The sequence below is a fragment of the Homo sapiens genome, chromosome 8 (genome assembly GCF_000001405.40).
Source record: "Homo sapiens chromosome 8, GRCh38.p14 Primary Assembly".
NCBI lineage: Eukaryota > Metazoa > Chordata > Mammalia > Primates > Hominidae > Homo > Homo sapiens.
The window spans coordinates 77,166,112-77,186,492 of record NC_000008.11 but is presented as its reverse complement, the minus strand read 5'-3'; positions in this window follow the sequence as shown (position 1 = coordinate 77,186,492).

Here is a 20,381-nt window from a genome sequence, read left to right as displayed (position 1 = left end):
CCAGCCTGGCCAACATGGTGAATTCTTGTCTCTACTAAAAATACAAAAATTATCTGGGTGAGGTGACCCATGCCTGCAATCCCAGCTACTTGGGAGGCTGAGGCAGGAGAATTGCTTGAACCCAGAGGCAGAGGTTGCAGTGAGTCAATATCACTCCACTATAGTCCAGTCTGGGACACAAGAGCAAAAAAAAAAAAAATTGATTTTGGCATTCTTACATACTACCATAAAACATATTATATATGTCTTAAAGTGATTTTTGTTGCAAAGAACATGCATATTTGCTGTAAAGTTATTTTCCTGCCTAAGATCATGCTCAAATTGTCCCCATGAAAATAAAGTGTTAATTATAACATGTGAAAAGTAGGTTAGATTTGCACTTCACTGATCATTACTGATGCTGAGCATTTTTTCATATGTCTTTTGATCATTTGTATATCTTCTTTTGAGAATTGTCTATTCATGTCCTTAATCCACTTTTTGATGGTATTTTTTTTTCTTCATAATTTGTTTGAGTTTGTTGTAGATCTAATCCTTGGTCAGATGTATAGATTGTGAAGATTTTCTCCCACTCTGAGGGTTGCCTTTTTACTATGTTGACTGCTCCTTTTGCCGTGCAAAAGCTCTTTAGTTTAATTAAGTCCCAGCTATTTATCTTTGTTTTTATTGCATTTGCTTTTGGGCTCTTGGTCATGAAATCCTTGCCAAAGCCAATGTCTAGAAGGGTCTAGAAGGGTTTTTCTGATGTTGTCTTCTAAAATTTTTATAGTTTCAGGTCTTAGATTTAAGTCCTTGATCCATCTTGGTTGATTTTTGTATAAGGTGGGAGATGAGGATCTAGTTTTATTCTCCTACATGTGACGTTCTAATTATCCCAGCACCATTTGTTGAATAGGATGTCTTTTCCCCACTTTATGTAAGTATTTGGGTGCAGTATCACCTTACTCCTGCAAGAATGGCCATAATAACAAAAACTAAAAATAATAGGTATTGGCGTGGATGCGGTGAACAGGAAACACTTCTACACTGCTGGTGGGAATGTAAACTAGTACAACCACTATAGAAAACAGTGTAGAGAGTACTTAAAGAACTAAAAGTAGAACTACCATTTGTTCCAGCAATCCCACTACTGGGTATCTACCTAGAGGAAAATAAGTCATTATACAAAAAAGATACTTGCACAAGCATGTTTATGGCAGCACAATTCACAATTGCAAAAATGTGCAACCAACCCAAATTCCCATCAATAAATGAGTGGATAAAGAAACTGTGATATATATAGATATATATAGATATGTGTGTGTTATATATAGTATATATAGATATATATGTTTATATATGTTAGATATGGTATATATAGGTGTGTATATATATGTTATATATAGTATGTATATAATGGAATACTACTCAGCCATAAAAAGGAGTGAACTAACGGCATTCACAACAACCGGAATGAGATTGGAGACTATTATTCTAAGTGAAGATAGAAAACCAAACATCATATATTCTCTCATAAGTGGGAGCTAAGTTATGAGGATGAAAAGGCATAAAAATGACACAACAGACTTTGAGGACTCAGGGGGAAAGAGTGGGAAGGGGGTGAGGGATAAAACACTACAAATAGTGTGCAGTGTATGCTGCTTGGGTGACGGGTGCACCGAAATCTCACAAATCACCACTAAAGAACTTACTCATGTAACCAAACACTACCTGCTCCTCAATAACCTATGGAAATAAAAATATTTAAAAAAATAAGATAGACAGTCTTTTAACCTGTTTAGTCACAAGGTCACAATAAATCCTTCTGAATATTATATTTAAATGTCTAGATTTCAGAGAAAAAGTTGAGTAGACATTCTAACTTACCTTTCTGCTAACTAATCCATACTACATTTCTCCAGTTGATTATCAGGTATTTGTATTATTTTGAAGAAAATGTGTGTTCAGTATAATAGACACTCTTTCAGTAAATTTAGAATGAAAAATAAATAATATTCTTTGTGTTGGTTACTCAAGATTAGATTTAAAATGTCTGAGCATTGGAATCATGCATTCATATAATTTATCTTCTAGTGCTACTTTTTCCTCCAAATGAATTTAGTAACAAAGTTCTCTTGCTTCTTTTTTAATAATATATCTTTGAGGTTGAGTGCTATGTTCATGCCTGTAATTCCGGCATTTGGGGAGGCTGAGGCAGGCAGATCCTTTGAGCCCAGTGGTTTAAGACCATCTTGGGCAACATAGTGAGACCCTATCTCTACAAAGCTTTTTAAAAAATTAGCTGAGTGTGGTGGTACACACCTGTAACCCAGCTACTCGGGAGGCTGAGGCAGGAGAATCACTTGAGATTGGGAAGTCAAGGCTGCTGTGAGCCATGATCATGCCACTGCACCCCAACCTGGGTGATAGAGCGAGGCCTTGTCTCAAATAATAATAATAATAATAATAATAATAATAATAATAGCAACAATGTCTGTTTGTTTTGATGCACTCTTTCGTTTATTTTTGAGTTTCAGCACCAATCTTTTCTTACTGGAGCACTATAATCTGCAAAATGGACCTCAGATACTCTAAGTATGATAATCATGCTAAAACACACTGTTACTCTTCTTTTTAATATCCTTTACTGGCTCCTCATGGCCTTCATTCCTGAAAGTAGGAAGACCTTTCAGTTTTTGAGGTTGGTTTTGAAACTCTCATAACCTTCTGGAGAGCTAAGAGGACTCATAGTGAGTCCTTACACAAAGGAATATGTGTGATTAGTTAGTATTTATTCTAAACTCCAGACTCTAGAATCAAGGCATTAAGAAAAACAAAACTTTTATTTTCTGAGTTATATAGCTTAACTCACCTGGGTAGAAAATAGATGAATTAAGGAAAATAATCTGGAAATAAAAATGCCTATATTTTGCTTTTATTATTTACCTGTGGTTCCTCCAAGAATATTCTGTATAGTTTTAGAGAAAGAGATCCCAACATCTCTAACTTCTCTTCCAAATCTTGTATTCTATAATGTAGTAATTATATGAATGTTACATCTTTATATTTTAGTTAGTTAGACCTCAAAATTGTGCATTTTAAATGATACCTAAGATATGGAAAAAGTAATATAAAAGGACCTTAAATTGATTATCCTCAAGAAGTTTGCAATCTTTCTAAGGTATATGCCTCAATAAAGAAACAATTCAAGGTAGAAGAGAATCAAGTCCTTGACTGTGAGGAAGACTACTCTTGGAGCTAAGATAGAATTGCATGGAAGGCCTCCAGGAAGAAATGCAACCTCAGTCCTTGAAGGATGCCTGGGCTATAGATAGTTGAGGAAAATGGAACCAGGGTTGTGGCAAGTGGAAAGAAGCAAAGGCACAATGTTGTAATGTTGTAATGATCATTAGAAGACCTGACTAATCAGAGAGGAGTCAGGCTTCTGTGTAGTAGGTAATAAATTTGAGTGGTGTGATGCTTAATTTTATATCAATTTAACTGGGGCATAGGCTGCCTAGCTATTTTGTTAAACATTTCTCGGTGTGTCATTTTTTTTTTTTTTTTTTTGAGATGGAGTCTCGCACTGTCTTCTACGCTGGAGTGCAGTGGCACAATCTTGGCTAACTACAACCTCCGCCTCCCGGATTCAAGTGATTCTCCTGCCTCAGTCTCCTGAGTAGCTGGGATTACAGGCACCTGGCACCACACTCAGCTAATTTTTTTGTATTTTTAGTAGAGATAGGGTTTCACTATGTTGGCCAGGCTGGTCTCGAACTCCTGACCTTGTGATCCGCCTGCCTCAGTCTCCCAAAGTGCTGGGATGGGTGTGTCTTTGAAGGAGTTTCTGGATGAGGCTAGTATTTGAATCAGTAGTAATCAGCTGAGTAAAGAAGACCTGCTCTCATTAATGTGAGTGATAGGATCCCATTCATTGAGGCCCAAATTAACACAAAGACATAAAGGAAGAGAAAATTCACACTCTCTTTGTGCCTGACTGTTGAACTGGGACATTAGTTTTCTCCTACACTCTAAGACTGCCACCATCTCTCCTGGTTCTCAGGACTTTGAACTCAGACTGGAATTTACATCTCTGGCTCTCACAGGTCTCCAGTTTACTGTCTGCAGATCCTAGGAACTTCTCAACCTCCATAATTGTGTGAGTTAATATCTTGTAATAAATAAATAAAAATGGGATATGTGTGGGATGTGTGTGTGTGTGTGTGTGTGTGTGTGTGTGTGTGTTCATTGGTTTTCTTTCTCTGAAAAACCCCAATACAAGAGTAGAGGTGGAGCTAAGATTGATACAAATGATACTATTGATATGAATGAGATGAAGACATGTGTAATCAAACTAAAGTGAGGAAGATGATGCTGAGAAGACTTTCAGAGAAAAATCAAGAGCTAAAAGCACATTAGTGGTGGCAAGAATTTTATTAAAAATGAGAAATAAATGAAACCCTCAAAACAGTAGAGCCATCCAAATGAAAATGATTTTCTATCAGTAGCAGATCAACTTTGTGATGTTTCAATGTATTCTCCAGATCCACAGTTCTTTCAATGTACACATGTAATTAATTTAACTGTTTTGTACAACTTATTCTTGCCAATGTTTATTTTAGACTGTAAACCTAAAATAGAATAGGGTTTATAGTATTTAACCTGTTGTACATATGAAATGAGTACACAGAACATTTTTAGGTGAGTATGTAAAATTCTGAAACATGAAATTTTGAAACAGTTCAGGAATTTTTCTCATATTCAGAGTATATATCTGTTTATTTGCTCAGTAATATTTACCAGACCCAACTTCCCTGTTACCATTTTTTGCTCCCACAGTCAAAATAACAAGTAGGGAAGCAGCAAAGCAGTGAGGCTCTATAAATAAAATTAATTGTGAGTCAGGATCTGGGTGCTGGGTGAACAATTAGGCACTTAACTGGCATATGCTGAATGAAAACAAGAGACCTCATATGTTTCAGATTTTCATGGGTCAAACAATTTCACCTGTGAAGTCATCAGAAAGGCAGTTATGGTATTTATAAATAGTTTCAATTCAGCTTACATATTATAATAATTTGACAAAAAATTAATAAGATCTTTGTAAAATAATAAAGTAAATAAATAGCAACCAGAATTGTAGGAGTTTGACTAGACTATCTGGAAGTTGCTTCTCCTAAAGTTTCTCTGCCTGCACTTCCAATTTTATTTCAAAGTTATCCAACAGGTATAAGGATCAAAAAATAGTATCCATCTGTCTGGATCATAGGAGATCCTGTATTTGAACTCCAGAGAAGCACACATGTATTTACACTTTCTGTATTTTATGGAGATATCTTATCCAGACACTCTGTAATAAGCTATTAATATGTCTCTCATTAGGACATAAGCATAACTGTATATATAATTACCATATTGATCATTTTAAGTTGGATATGTTTGAATTTAGGGAGCATTAATCTATACAATACAAACTAATATTAGATATAAAGTATAATTGAAAAATTAAATAATTTTTAAAACAGCATAATTTATATTAAAAAGGATAAAAGTACGCATATACTTATGAAACAAATCATGTATTAAAATAGGCTTTCCCCATTTAATCTGCAAATATTCTATTGTAACTCTTAATCAATAAACAAAACTCTTTGCAACTGGGTGTTTTACCTCCATCTTCAGTAGTTTCATTTATTAAATATGCATGCAGTAACAACTACATGCCAGTACTATTAAAATTCTTTTTTGTTTTATTACTATGCCTCTCTAACATCCATCCTCACCTTTTCTGGTAACGGTAAACCAATTATCTTTAGGACTCATCTCTCTCCTATTTTTGACCTATTGTTAATAACTGTTTCCTCAAACTCTCGTTTTAAATTGTAACTATTAATCTGTGTGAGTAATTTCTTTATTTGCATTATTTTGCCTCCATATTTTCCTCATAGCATTATTATTAAAAAGTGTTGTTGTTCATCTTTCTGCATTTAAAAATAATGGGGGCTAGGCACGGTGGCCCACGCCTGTAATCCCAGCACTTTGGGAGGCCAAGGAGGGCAAAGAACCTGAGGTCAGGAGTTGGAGACCAGCCTGGTCAACATGGAGAGACCCCATCTCCACTAAAAATACCAAATTAGCTGGGCGTGGTGGTTCATGTCTGTAATCTCAGCTACTCAGGAGGCTGAGGCAGGAAGATTGCTTGTACCTAGGAGGCGGAGGTTGCAGTGAGTTGAGTTCACACCACTGCATTCCAGCCTGAGTGACAGAACAAGACTCCGTCTCAAAAATAAATAAATAAACAAAAATAATGGGGAACAATTATGTCAGTAGTTTTTAGAAATCAAAGAGATTCAAAGATTCTGATAATCTAAATTTTAATAATGAAAGCACACACGGAGCACAGCAGAGACTAGATATATTCATGAGAGAAAAATAAAAGGAAAATATAACCTAGACGTTGCCTGTTTAGTGAGTGAAACCAAGTTTAATCCATTAATTCTCATTCAACTCAGGGGAGTTTAAATGTTTTCAATAATGGTTGGAATGAAAGAAAATGGGAGATTTGGTGAAGTGGGAAAAAAAATTGCCAACTACCACTCAAACTACAAATAGTTGTCTTCATGCCTTTTACTCTTTTTAAGAAACATTTTGAAAAGTCCAAATTACTCAAAATCATTCTATCCACCTTGGAAATGATCAAATAGAGGTCAATTTGCCCAGACCATGTAACAATCTAAAGAAAGTTTGGAAGCTGTCTTTGAGCACAGTAAAAGGAAATCAGAGAGAAATCTGGAATAGAATAGCTTTAATACAGGCCACGTGTAATGGAAGGAGAGCTGTTTCAGAAAAAATTGAGAAGTTATTACAATTTCTTTGCGTTTAGTGTTTTTTTGTGTGATCTCTGACCTCTACGTTACCCAACATACCTTTCTGGAGGGCTTAATAAATTTAAAAAAAAATCCACCAAATGCTGGAAGAAGCAAAGACAAAATATATAGATAACCTATCTAAAAGAGACTAAAATTGAAAAATGGGGCTTCCATCCTATTTATTCATTGAGTCATTCATTAAATACCTAGTTGCTAAAGATTCAGAAATAAAGGAAGATGTATTTTAAGGTTCTTACCATGAGACTTCAATTAGTAAGAGCCCTCCAGGGGTAAAAAGGTATATAAAAGAAAGTTTTAGAGATAAGAAAATATACTAGAGAGTGATCGTAGATGGAACCAGAATTTCTATCCAGTGGGAGGAGAATGATCAATTAAGGTGCCAAATTTAGTAAGGCAGTTATGAAATAACATGGATGCTTAAGCAACAGCAGCTTAGGGCTTTGTAAAAATAAAGCAATTGTCAGCTGTCTTCAAACTGGAATCCATGTGACAATATAACTGATCCTTATTAGCACCTATTTTGAAGAAAAGGGAAAAAAATCCATTTTAAATTTCAAATCTATAATTGCCACAAAATTTTCATTTTTTAACGAGGAATTTTTTTAAAAAATAGTCTTCTTCAATTTCCTGTTAACCATGTGTTTATTTACACATCCTACAAGAACTTGATAAAAGATAGAAATAAATACACATGAATGATGGAAAATAGAAACAAAACCTTGATGTAATATAAACGGTTTAATTAAAGATAATTTATTGAAGAGACTACTTACATATGTGAGAGCACACTTAAGGGGACAATAATGAATGGTGAACACCCAGAGACCAGAACAGTGAGACGTTATTACCAACTGTAACCTAAAGGTCAAGAAGAAGGAATGTGTCCTCAAGAGTTTGGAAAGGACTGGGGACATGAAAAGGAGGCTTTGGACAGCACTTGTGACCATTGTGAAATGCAGTCCTTGCAGAAATCCCAGCCAGTCAGAGAGACAGTGTGAAATAACTACCCCCATGTTGCTCATTGTCTGCTCATTCCTCATTTCAGCACTTCCCATTAGCCAAACCCAACCAGAAGCCAGAATGCAAGGGAGTTTGCTTGCTGCAATGAATAGAAGGCAGCCTCTTGTGTTGTAGAGAAAAGTAAAGAAAGACGGAAAACTGATCTGGGAATACAAAGAGTGACAGAGATTAGCCAACACACAAGGAATAATAGACTTCAGCTTCAGCTTTCTTTCATCTGTGAATCTGTACACTTTCATATTGGCTAGACTGAACTACATTTCCCAGAATTTCATTTTGCATATGTTTCCAGTTAGAATGGGCGGCCATGAGAGAATTCTTTGGGAAGATATAGAGAACAGATATCACATTATATGCCTACTATGTGGCCATTATACTGGGTAAAATATAAATAAGTTTACAGAAATTAAACCTCCCGTTTAGAAAATAGGGTACCCCAAAGCAATTCAAACCCTGCTGGATAGGAACCCAGGAGGTGGAGGTTGCAGTGAGCTGCGATCATGCCACTGCACTCCAGACTGGGTGACAGAGCAAGACTCCGTCTCAAAAAAACATAAATAATGGGGAACAATTATGTCAATGGTTTTTAGAAATCAAAGAGACTCAAAGATTCTCATAATCTAATTTTAATAATGAAAGAGAGCACACATGGAGCACAGCAGAGAGTAAGTATATTCATTAGAGAATAAACAAAGGAAAACATAACCTAGATGTTTGTGTAGTGAGTGAAGCCAAGTTTAATCTACTATTTCTCATCCAACTCAAGGGAGTTTAAGTGTTTTAAATAATGGCTGGAATGAAAGAAACTCCATTCCTCACCAGTGGAGAAAATTCCTTGACTCTCCTATCAGCTACTTGACTGTAGTTGGTGTTACAGCTTGGGTACCTCTTAGAGACTGTACTGCTTTTATAGCACTCTTTCTGCTTATGCAGACTGGGGATCCTTTAGAGGTGACCTGATCACAGCTTCTGTTAAGCTTGTGGTTTCTGTAGTAATCCAATTGCCTCAAAAACTTAGTAGAAATTCAGTCCCCTTGCTTCTGATCACTTGTACATTTAAGTAAACACAAACCATATTCTCTCAAGATATAGTTTATAAATCTGGTAAGTCGGATATTTAGTTTTTGATCTCTGATCTGTGCCATCTGCCTCTCTTGTGAAACAACAGGCTTGGGTGAGAAGTCAACCCCACTCATATGATCTTTGGACTACGTTGGCACCTATCACAGGCTGAGAAATCTGCTTCCTTCAGTTGGTAAAAAAAAAAAATCAGTAGACTTTGTTTCTTTTTTAAATTTGAGATCCCAAACTATCCAACTGTCAGTCAACTTACATTACAAGCTGTAAGCAGAGAGAACTTGGCAAGTAGGCTAATCTATCTTCACTTTCTCTGTATAAAAATATTAAGAAAACACATTCTTAATATCTTCTAGATCTCACGTAGCTCATTGTCTGTCTTCCAATGTATGGCAGGCAACAGTTTATTTCATATTGTTCCCTGGTATAATCTTATGCCAACATTTCAGCTTCTAACATTTGAGCCCTCACTACAGTATTATTTCCAATAAACCAAAGCCATATATTTGTAGCTCTATCTCATATAGCACCCACTTCTGAAATACAAAGGGAAATTTACCAAAAAGCACATCTAAAAGAATGTAAAGTTGCTTTTCAGAAGCAAGACTCAGAAATAGAAAAATCTAGTTGTCGTTTTTTTACCTCAAATAAAACATTCAATAAAATAGTATACCTCTATATATAAATTCAGCCTAACAGGAGCCAACATAGCCCCAAAGATCAGACTTCAATGTATATAATAATATAAATTTTGTCCAAACTTGTAAGACTGATTGTAGTGATGATAGACAATGGTAGTATTGTCTAGGGGAGTGGTTTTCACTTGGGATCTCCTCCTGAAGTGGTCATTTGGCAACGTCTGTAGACATTTTTGTTGTTAATGACTGGGAGTGAGGATGTGCTATTGGTATCTACTGAACGAAAGTCAGAAACTCTGCTAAATGTTACATAATACACAGGAGAGTTGCCTCCCCACCGTGCCCACAGCAAAGTATTATCCAGTCAAAATGTCAATTAGTGCTGAGGGTGACAAATTCTAGTCTAGACCCCTCCATAGAAAAGACTAAACCTGTGGGGAGGAGCTATAAAACCATAAATATGGCACCCCTAACCTCCACATTGAGCAAACAGAGGGTGGATATCTTGGAACAGCAGAACACACAAATAGAAGGTCTGATTCGGGCAATGGAACCTTTAGCATGGAAGCAGAAGAAGTAAAGACGCTTCTATATCATTTGGAGGGATTCATATGGCTGCCTATATGGCTGGCCTTGTAAGCCTTGTGGACATCACAAATAATACTGGTCCCAGAATCTGCCAAAGTTTCCTTCAACATTAATATATTAATTGGTTTGATTAGATGAGGGGCATTGAATTAACATAAAATTCCATCAGTTCAACATAGGAAAAAAAAAACACTCCAAGCATATGCTCCACCAATAGTAGATCAGTTACTTACTAGAGACTGATTAATAAAGTAATAAAGGGGAAGAAAAACAATTATTTTGATGGATAGATGAACTCCAGAGTATATATACTAATTTAGTTATTTAATTTTCATTACACTTATGAAAAACTAGAATTTAATACTATGCATATTTCTTTAGGGAGTTTCATTTTTAATTAGATATGACTTGAGCTCACTCTTTTCCCACTGCTGAAATAATGTACAAACTCGGTGTGTGTGTGTGTGTGTGTGTGTGTGTGTGTGTGTGTGTGTGTGTGCATGCTCACAGAGAAGTAGGCTTCTGTATAAACAATTTCTATTTCTTCACACATACACCCAGATGTATCTTCAGCGTAACACAATTACATAAGACAAAACAAAGGGACATAAGAAATTATTCCAAGGGAATTTACCTACTACACTAAACATTTTTCTCATCTCTCCTAGAGTATGGTTTTAATTTTGTTTACATGATTTTAAATCTTCTTTTACTTGAAAAATAAACTTCAAGTTATGATTTAAGAAACAATATACAGGTGATAATTCTAGATATAAACTATTGTTCCTAGAGTACTTTTTCAGAGACAAAGGGAAGTTCTTTTTTTTTTTTTCTTTCAAGACAGAGTAGAGACAGGAAAGTCTTTTTAAAAGAGCAATTTGTTTTTTAATAGAATCCTGGTGGGATGGCAAAATGGCCAACTAAAGTTACTTACTAAAATAATGTTAAGCATTGTGAACCTAAATACACTCTCCCAGATTTTAAAATGAAGGTTTTTTTAAAGAAAAAGTAAATGAAAATTAAAAATATATAGAATGTCATCAGTAAATCTCAAAAACATAATTTAATAAAGCAAGTTTTAGGTTTTATATAATTAAGTGTCATTTATATACTTTTTTTTTCAAAAAAAGCAATACTACGTATGCTATTGGCTACACACACACGTTTAAAGGACTGAAGGGATGGACATCAAATTAATGATCAATGACTGATACAAATGGGGAAGGAAGAAGTAGGGAAGAAGCTGGGACAGGGATGTCACTGGGGAAAATGGAGCGTCATCTTTATTTGTAATGTTTTACTTTATTTATTAAAAAATATTCAAATAGATTATGACGAAATGTTAATTCTCTGTGAAGTGTGCAAAGATGTTTGCCATATTGTTTTTTGAGTTTACTGTACTTTTAGATTTCACAAAATAAAAATTATAATTAAAAATTAAGCAGGAGAGAGTGTCTGAGATATAAATGTAAATATTGAAAGATCAACAAAAAATTATCATAATCATAGCATAGTTGAGGGTCCACACAACCACACATAGTCATGAGTGAACTATGGAATGTTAAAGACAGAGGACCAAGAATTGAAGCAAGAGATATAAGCAAGATGGTTTATAAGAAATAGGCCTTGTGAACTATGGCAACAAATCTGTAGATTTTCTTGAATTTAATCAGAAGGCACAAAAGAAAGTTGGTAGGAGGAAAGCTCTCAGAATTATGTATTATGAAGTTTGCACAGGGAACAATATGGAAGAAAGCTTGAGGAAAAATAAGAGCTGAGTCTGGTAAACTTAAATGGCTATTGCGTTAGTCTAAGCAAGGAATAACAAAGTGCTTGAGTAAGAGAGTGTCAGTCGAATAGGAAGGAAGAAATTGATGTTTCTTAACTAAGGGCACAGCAGTGGAATAGAGGGAAAGAAATTTATAAAATTTAATTGACAGAAATTGGTAAATATATTGTGACAAAGACAAAAGCATCCAGGATACCTTTGTTTCAGGTTAGGGCAACTTGGTGAACATTAGAAAAAGAGATAAAAACTAACAAATATAAATACTGAGTTGGTTTTGTGGAGAAGAGCACACTGACTTTTTAAAATGTGGGGGCACTAATATCTTTTTCCTCATTGGCTATTAGTCCACTCTTTTTTTATTCTCATGGTTCCCTTTTATGAGGCTGTTAATTACATTGTCCACATATCTCTAACACTCTTCTAACAGATTTCCTCACCTCTAATTTCCACAATCCCCATGCCAATGGACACAGTAGAGTCAGATTACTTTTCCTAAACTACTCCCTTTTACTCATTCAAGGTTGAATTCATAGTACATGGAAAGTTCCTAAGGAGAAAGAGCACTAGAGCATATTATATTTGCAGAACTAAAACAAGCCCAGTGGAGCTTGCATGGACATTTTGGGGAGAAGATTCCCAGATGATACCGGAAAAAAATATGTTGAGTTTTGTTCGAAATTTCAGACGTATCCTAAGGATGGTGGTAAGAAATTGGAAACTAAGGAGTAAGCAACATGACCTATGTAGTTGGAAATATTGGCCTAATATAAGCAGAGAAACATTTTCCAATATAACTTCTTCCACGCAGCCTTTATAAAAACAATGTAATTATAAAAGACAGAAAAAGGAAATAATGGAAGACAGGAAAAGGAAACCTAACATATGCATATTTGATATTTCTGAATAAGAAAACAGATACAATTTAGAATATATATTTAAAAATATACCAGAATACATTTTCCTGAAATGAAGACAAAATTGAATCTGCAAGTAGAGGGAGTGCATCTAATCAGAAAAGAAATGATAAAGGATAATTTTGCCAAAGCATGTCTTCTTGAAGTCATTGCATTTCAAGAATAAAGACTTATATAGGCATCCAGACAGTAAGGGAAATTCAGTCATAAGAGGGCGATATGGTTTGGATTTGTGTCCCTGCCCAAATCCCATGTCACATTGGAAGAGGGGCCTGGGCCTGGTGGCAGGTGACTGGATTATGGGGGTAGATTTCCCCATTGCGGTTCTTGTGATAGTGAGTGAGCTTTCATGAGATCTGATGGTTTAAAATTGTGTGGCACCTCCCCATAAGCTCTCTGTCCCTCTCTCTCTCCTGCCTCCTTGCAAAGACATGCTTGCTTCCCCTTCGCCTTCTGCCATGATTCTAAGTTTCCTGACGCCTCCCAGTCATGCTTCCTATTAAGCCTGTGGAACTGTGAGTCAATTAAACCTCTTTTCTCCATAAATTACCCCTTCTAGGGTAGTTTTTTTTTATTTTTGTGGTGTTTGGGGCTTTTTGGGAGATGGAGTCCCACTCTGTCATCCAGGCTGGAAAGCAGTGAATGGAGTACTCATGAAATTTTTAAAAAGAAAAGGTTAGTGGATCATAAAAATCTCTTTAACAAAAAGGTAAATCAAAAATTTCAAAGCTCTAAAATTGATAAATCATTAAAAAAATTATGTAGTAGTGAGCATGGGATCCAATTAAATAAGGCTAAGTAACGGGGGATTACGGTTACACAACAAAATGTAAATCTTATAGACCCTGACCTTACAAAAATTACTTAAACTTTTTTCAAGGAATTATTCTTTTTTGCATGTATTGACTTTCTGCTATTTAAAAAATGGGGAAATTAACAAGGATATACTTTCTTTCTCCATTCTGGCTTTATTCTAACTTCTAATTACCTCGCATTTATCAGTCACACAAACACACACATACACACACACTTCAAAAAACACACCATGATTTTTAGAGGTGATACAGACTATATCCACATTAAGGAAGAGGGATATAGTCCTATCTTATCATCCCTCAGATTCCCTGGCCTAAATCACGGGTAGTGCTTTACATTATTTTGAGGACTGGTTTCAGTCCTGTGCTTGTAGGAAAGCTAGATGCCGGTACACAAACAATGAAGCCTATTAACACCTTTGCCAAATAATAGAGCCATCTGCCTGGATGTCTTCCTTACACAGAAGAGAAATCAGGCAGACCTTGAAGGTTAAAACCATTTCTTTACTTTTTGCTAAGTCACCTTCTGCTCACTGATCTTTAAAATCTGAAACTAGACATTTGTTTTCCTTCTTTCTACAAACAAAATCAAAGTGGGGCTGCTTTGTTCTTCCAGGTACACTTACAATGATTTTTAATTCTTTTGTTGTAACATTTTAAAGTATCAATTGTCTACATGGACTGCCCCACAAAAAGTTATTTCCCTAGACTCTGTTCTATAAGCAATCCAGAATTTTGATCAAGTGCATTAACCATTTGTGTTTCTTCCACTTCAGGTGCAATAAATTACAGTTGGAGTTTCAAATTAACATGTAAGATATCGAGTTTAATTAATTTCGTTGATTTTGAGATAAAGGTCAAAGCTTAAAGAAAATTAGAAAGAAGCCTATTGAAGAAAAATTACGAAACATAAATGTATGGACCTTCATAAGGTCAAAGTAAACCTAAGAGATTTTCTGGAACAGATCATAATTTTAACACAGAGGGGATAAACTATTTAATTTGCTTTTTATAAAGTTATTCAGTTACCCATGTTGTATCTCTGTGACAAATACAAGCTGCTTAATATCTATTTCCTTGTTTCTAAACATAGTAAATTGTTATCACATTGATAGAAATTAATGACATTGTTTATCATTTATTTAAAAATGACTGTATAATTTTAATATCATTATGCTGGTTTCCTCTCTCCAGTCTGACATTATGTTCATTTGTACTCTCAAGTAAACATTTTATGAAGGGAATTGCCTGAATATCACCAAAAGTATTTTTAATTTAAGATTTAATATAGACTTAAGTTCATCAATTAAGGAAGCCAAATATTCTCAGGCAATATGTAGCATATTCATGGATCATCTTGTGTTTGCTATCTCAACTGAAAAATCAACTGAAGCTTTTAAAGAGGAATGAGTGTGTTGTACCTATGCTTCATGGCATAAAAAAGTATTTTTGCAAGACAAGTTTTTCTTAAAAAATTAAATATTATCTTAATTTTTTAACATATATCCAACTCAATAAAATGACAGCAAATTATTTATATATTGACTAATCTATGAAAATGTAATCCCAATTATCTTGAGAATACAGACTCAATTATTGCTATTTCAGATCTTTTTTATTTATTTTGCATGAAGAGTAGCATCTTTAATCCAAACCCTTAATTGCCAATTCTCTCCTCATACACACCCAGTTCTACTTTCAAAACAGACATACAAGCAGGAAAAGTACATCCCTTGACTGCATCATATGGGAAAATAATCTATTCTCAGTATTGAATATGTAAAAAAGGGATGGCAGAATATAAAAACTAGGAAACTTCCTGATTCTTCTTGCACAGGATGGATTATTTCATTTAAACTAAATTTCCTAAACTCAGCTCCTATAGTTTTTGGTCTGCACCAGTTGTTCCAAGACTTTCACATTTCATGGAGCAAGAAGTTACTAAAATAGAATAAATGCAGAGCCTGGCATAGTCAGTATTTAATTTTGTTACGTAGGAATATTAAAATGTCATTATTTCACTAAACATAGGACATTTTGACTCCAAAAAGATAGGATGAACATAACTTTAGATTAAATTTAGAAACAGTTTATAATTTTATACTAACATGTATACAACGCTATATTCAATTTTCTTCATTTCATTCCAGACTCCTGAAAATTATCACAAGTGAAATCTACCTGTAGTATAGTATTAGAAATCACTGTTGTACTCAGCACAGCATTCACCCCACTCCGTCTTGTATGGATAATTTTTTTAATCAATTTTGTTTTACTTATCAAACTTTTTCTGCTTTGTATCACTCACAACAGGGGTTCCCAACCCCTAAGCCACAGACCTGTACCAGTCTGTGTCCTGTTAGGAAATGGGCCGCACAGGAGGAGGTGAGTGGCAGGTGAGCGAGCATTACAGCCTGAGCTCCGCCTTGCCAGATCGGTGGCGGCATTAGAGTCTCGTAGGAGCGCGAACCCTATGAGAACTGAAGATGCAAAGGATCTAGGTTGCACATATCTTGTGAGAATCTACTAATGCCTGATGATCTGAGATGGAAGAATTTCATCTCAAAACCATCCCCTCCCCGCCGCCCCACCGTCCATGGGAAAATTGTCTTCCACGAAACCAGTCTCAATGACAAAAGGTTGGGAACTGCTGTCCCGCAACACTTTTGTCAAATAATTCGCCCATTTGTATATACCAACACAAAATACCAGAATAAAATGACTAGTGGGTTATGCCAATTAGACTTTTGTATACTTTTCTTTCTTACTAAGATGAGTAAATCAAATTTATTCTTAAGTAAGAATTTTCTAAATAAAGCTAAAAGATTTTAGTACATTATTACCAAAAAGGAAGTTTGGTATAAAGAAATTATATTGTATGAAGCAAGAGTGTTCATTTTTAAAAAAGTTCTTATCAATTTAATTGCTTACTGAAGTCCCCCATCATGTCTAATAAAGGAATTTGCCTACTTAAAGTTACTTAATTATATTCTGTGTGACTGTAGAGCTTCTCTTTTGATTGTTTGTTGTGTTAAAAAGCAATTAATGACTAACGCTAACCTGTTAAGTAACTCACCTCATTTGTCTACCATCTGTATATTAGATATTAATACCTGAAAGAGTGCCAGTTTCTTATGAAATAGGCTTTTAAATGTAAAGTCATTCAGTTTTATAAAGTAAATTTATATTAAACTAATTTTAATCTTAATATATAATCTTGTATATAATTATATATACATATAATTTATAATCTTAATATATATTAAGATTATATACTGATACTTTTTTAGTATTTTGGGTCCTTGTACTTTTCATTCGCACTGCTACAACCTAAAATATTAAGTATGCCCTTACTAAGTGTCAAATATTTTATGTAACTCAGAAGAACATTTCCCCAGAGTTGATGACAAGCTCTTATCTCTGACATGCTTTGGAAATTAATATTGAAAGTCCAGTTATCTTATTATATTGTCTTCAGGATAGTTGCGATTTTTCTAACTTTATCTTTGAACTTACATAGAGGTTAGATTCTCAAGTCAAAAATCCCTTGAGTAAACCCAATGAGTTTTAAGTTTTACTATTAAGCATTTAGTCAACTCAAGTTTTATCCAAAATTTTTAAAAATTTTTCTTAAAATTATGGAAAATTCAGTAACTTAGCCAAATATTCTTGAAAGCTCACTATTCTAATAAATATATTACCAATTAATTTAACATTTTCCCCACATTCCAATGTCATCACATGCAACTTGTACAACTGTTTACCATGACTGATAATCATGTTATGGCTTGTATTGCACATGCTTACACATGAATTATTTTTGTATCATTTTACCTTTAAGTATCCAGTTTTGTCAGCACTCTGTCACAAATTGTAAAAAAAAAAATTCAACTTCTTTATTTCCCAATTTTTCATATACATTTTATATTTTTATTATTACGTGATTAGATGAATTAGTATAAAACAAACTTGGTAGTACTCATATAAGCAATCTCCTCATACCCACATCGTTACCAGAGCCTAATCTTGTTGGAATGCTGACCCTCTTTGCATGCATGAACTCACGGAAGTGTGAATACTTTTCCTTATGGACTGGTTGCTTTCACAAACTATTGATTAACAAATAGTGTGCTATATAAAGGTAGAGTATACAGTAAGTACTTTAGACAATAAGAAGTACATATGCATGATATTTTAAGTTAAACAAAATGAAACTGCCATTCTCCTCAGTCAAAAATGTTCAAGTATTACCAACATTATATGGTTCAGCCTAACAATTTTCTAAACATCCCATTGGTACCATAGAGTAGAGATATGTAATTAGTGTATATTAAGTGTTCTTTATTTGATCCTTCAGTTTGCTACCTAAAGTTTAAAATGGAATTTCCTTCATTAGTCTGTAAGTTACCTTCATTGGCCTTCCTTAAAGAGGAAATCCTAGTTTCTTTAAACTAAGTCAAAAACTTTATAAGCATCTCCATCCATGATAGTAAAGTTGTAAAACTTCAGGCATCTATAAAACATGCTCACTTCTTTCATGAATACCTACAGGGCTCAAGTAGAAACCGTAGAATGATTCAGATGGTAAGTTCCATGCATATAATAATATGACCTGAGTAAACCATTAAATATGAAAATATAATGAAAGTGAAAAAAAAAACTTCCATTACAGAGTGCTTCATCACGTTTTGCAAAATAAATATGAACAATGTATTCTGAAATATTATAATTTGTTGTCATTTAAAGTGACATTTTATAACTTTTTTGCATGGTTTTAAGTCAGCCATTTGGGAGTTTATTCAATCCATTCTCCTAAACATGACCCCTACCAATTTTAAGAAAGAAGCATATAGAACTTAAGAGTCGATTGGATTTGCTTTCAATATTATTTTAATTGAAAATATAATACAGTAATTGAGGAGGAATTTAACTTTTTTCCAAGTTCTTCACAGTATGTTCTATTTAATTCCAAAAGTATATTTTCTACAAATTGTACATTGCCGTGTCCTACAAAACCAAAGATTGTTTACTTTCAGAAACTTTAAACACTGCTTTAAATGCATAGAGTTCTCCACAAAAATGAGATTAGCAGCTTCAGTACTGCAGTGTAGCAATATTATCAAAATTATTACAGAAATCAATAATACTTTCATTTCCAGAACTAATCTGATGGTAAGATCTTGTTTATATAGATATTAAACAAATGCATTATTCACATTTTGTAATGATTTTTAGAGAAGAAAAGACTTTTTTTAATTATCATATGGAATTGGTATAATAAATGAGTATAAATTTTATTAACAGAAAGTTAATTTACATAAAACAAATGCTCATTGAATTATTGAATATGATAATATCTACATGCCTATTCCTGTTTGTCATATTTTGTGCCTTTTGGCGACATCAGAATTATAACAATTTGATTTATGCATTAAATTTAATGCATAATATGACAACATACAGATATGTATGCCTTATAATGTATAATTTAAATATGATTGCTATATATTTCACCTATTCTTTCATGGCTTTACCGATTTTCTCTTGCAGCCAGAAATCACGATTAAAATGCAGGTTGCCAGATACGAATGTCTGTTTGAATTAATGAATATTTTCGTAAAAATACTCCAACTATAAATGTTTTAAAAACCTTGTCATACGCTCACCAAACTTACACATGACAGCTAGCATGTGTTACTGCATTTTCATCTTAAATATTTGATGATTGCCTCTTTAAATCCAAGATTCATAACCCAAAGGCTTTCATTTTCTTACACCATGTGTAATTCAAAAGACATTTATTAGTACAGTCCTCTTTTTATGCATCAACAAAATGTATCTGAAGAAAGCAATATATGAACTTCCCAGAATTTTGGACATTTTTAAGGTATTAATTATACATAACAATATTTTATAATATGTATACACTATTTATACTCTTTCTCCCTCTCCCTCCCAATGGAATAAAGATAGTATTTACAATAAAGAAGATTCTGGTTAAACATTAAAAACTACAACACAACTGGAATCTCTTTTATGTTACATTAAAAATGTGTAAACATTTCCTAACCTACCCACACTTTCAGGAAATGATTATAGTGCACAGCTGCAATTTATGAGGTTCTGAGAAACACCAATGCTCTTCTAATAACTCTTTAACAATGATGTCAGTTTTTAAGTCATAAATTTAAATTTAAAATGGATATTTTTAAAGGTAAATACGAGTAACAGGTACAGAATCATCGTTAGTATTTAGGAAGGAATCCAACTAATGATCATCAGAACAATCCCTTAGTAGGTTGTGATTGAGGATTGCCCATTGATGGGTCACTCTCACTTGACCTTGGGTGTGCAGGAAGGTAGTTCACCATGGTAACCTTGGTCTTGATGCTTGCCATACAGTAAATCATTTCAGTCTCTTCATGTAATTCTTTTATTGGCTGTGCAATTGAAATGTCATGCTTCACGAACAGAGAAGCTAGTAATTTCTTATGGGTGATTAAACCACCTTTCTAATGTATGAACATGGATGAAGTGGTATGCAACTATTTTGACACACCCTGAGTTCATCATAATTTTCCTCTGTGTATGTTTTATTTTCACATATCTTCTTTTAACACACACTGAGTTCATCATCACAATTTTCCTCTGTGTGTGTGTGTGTGTGTTTT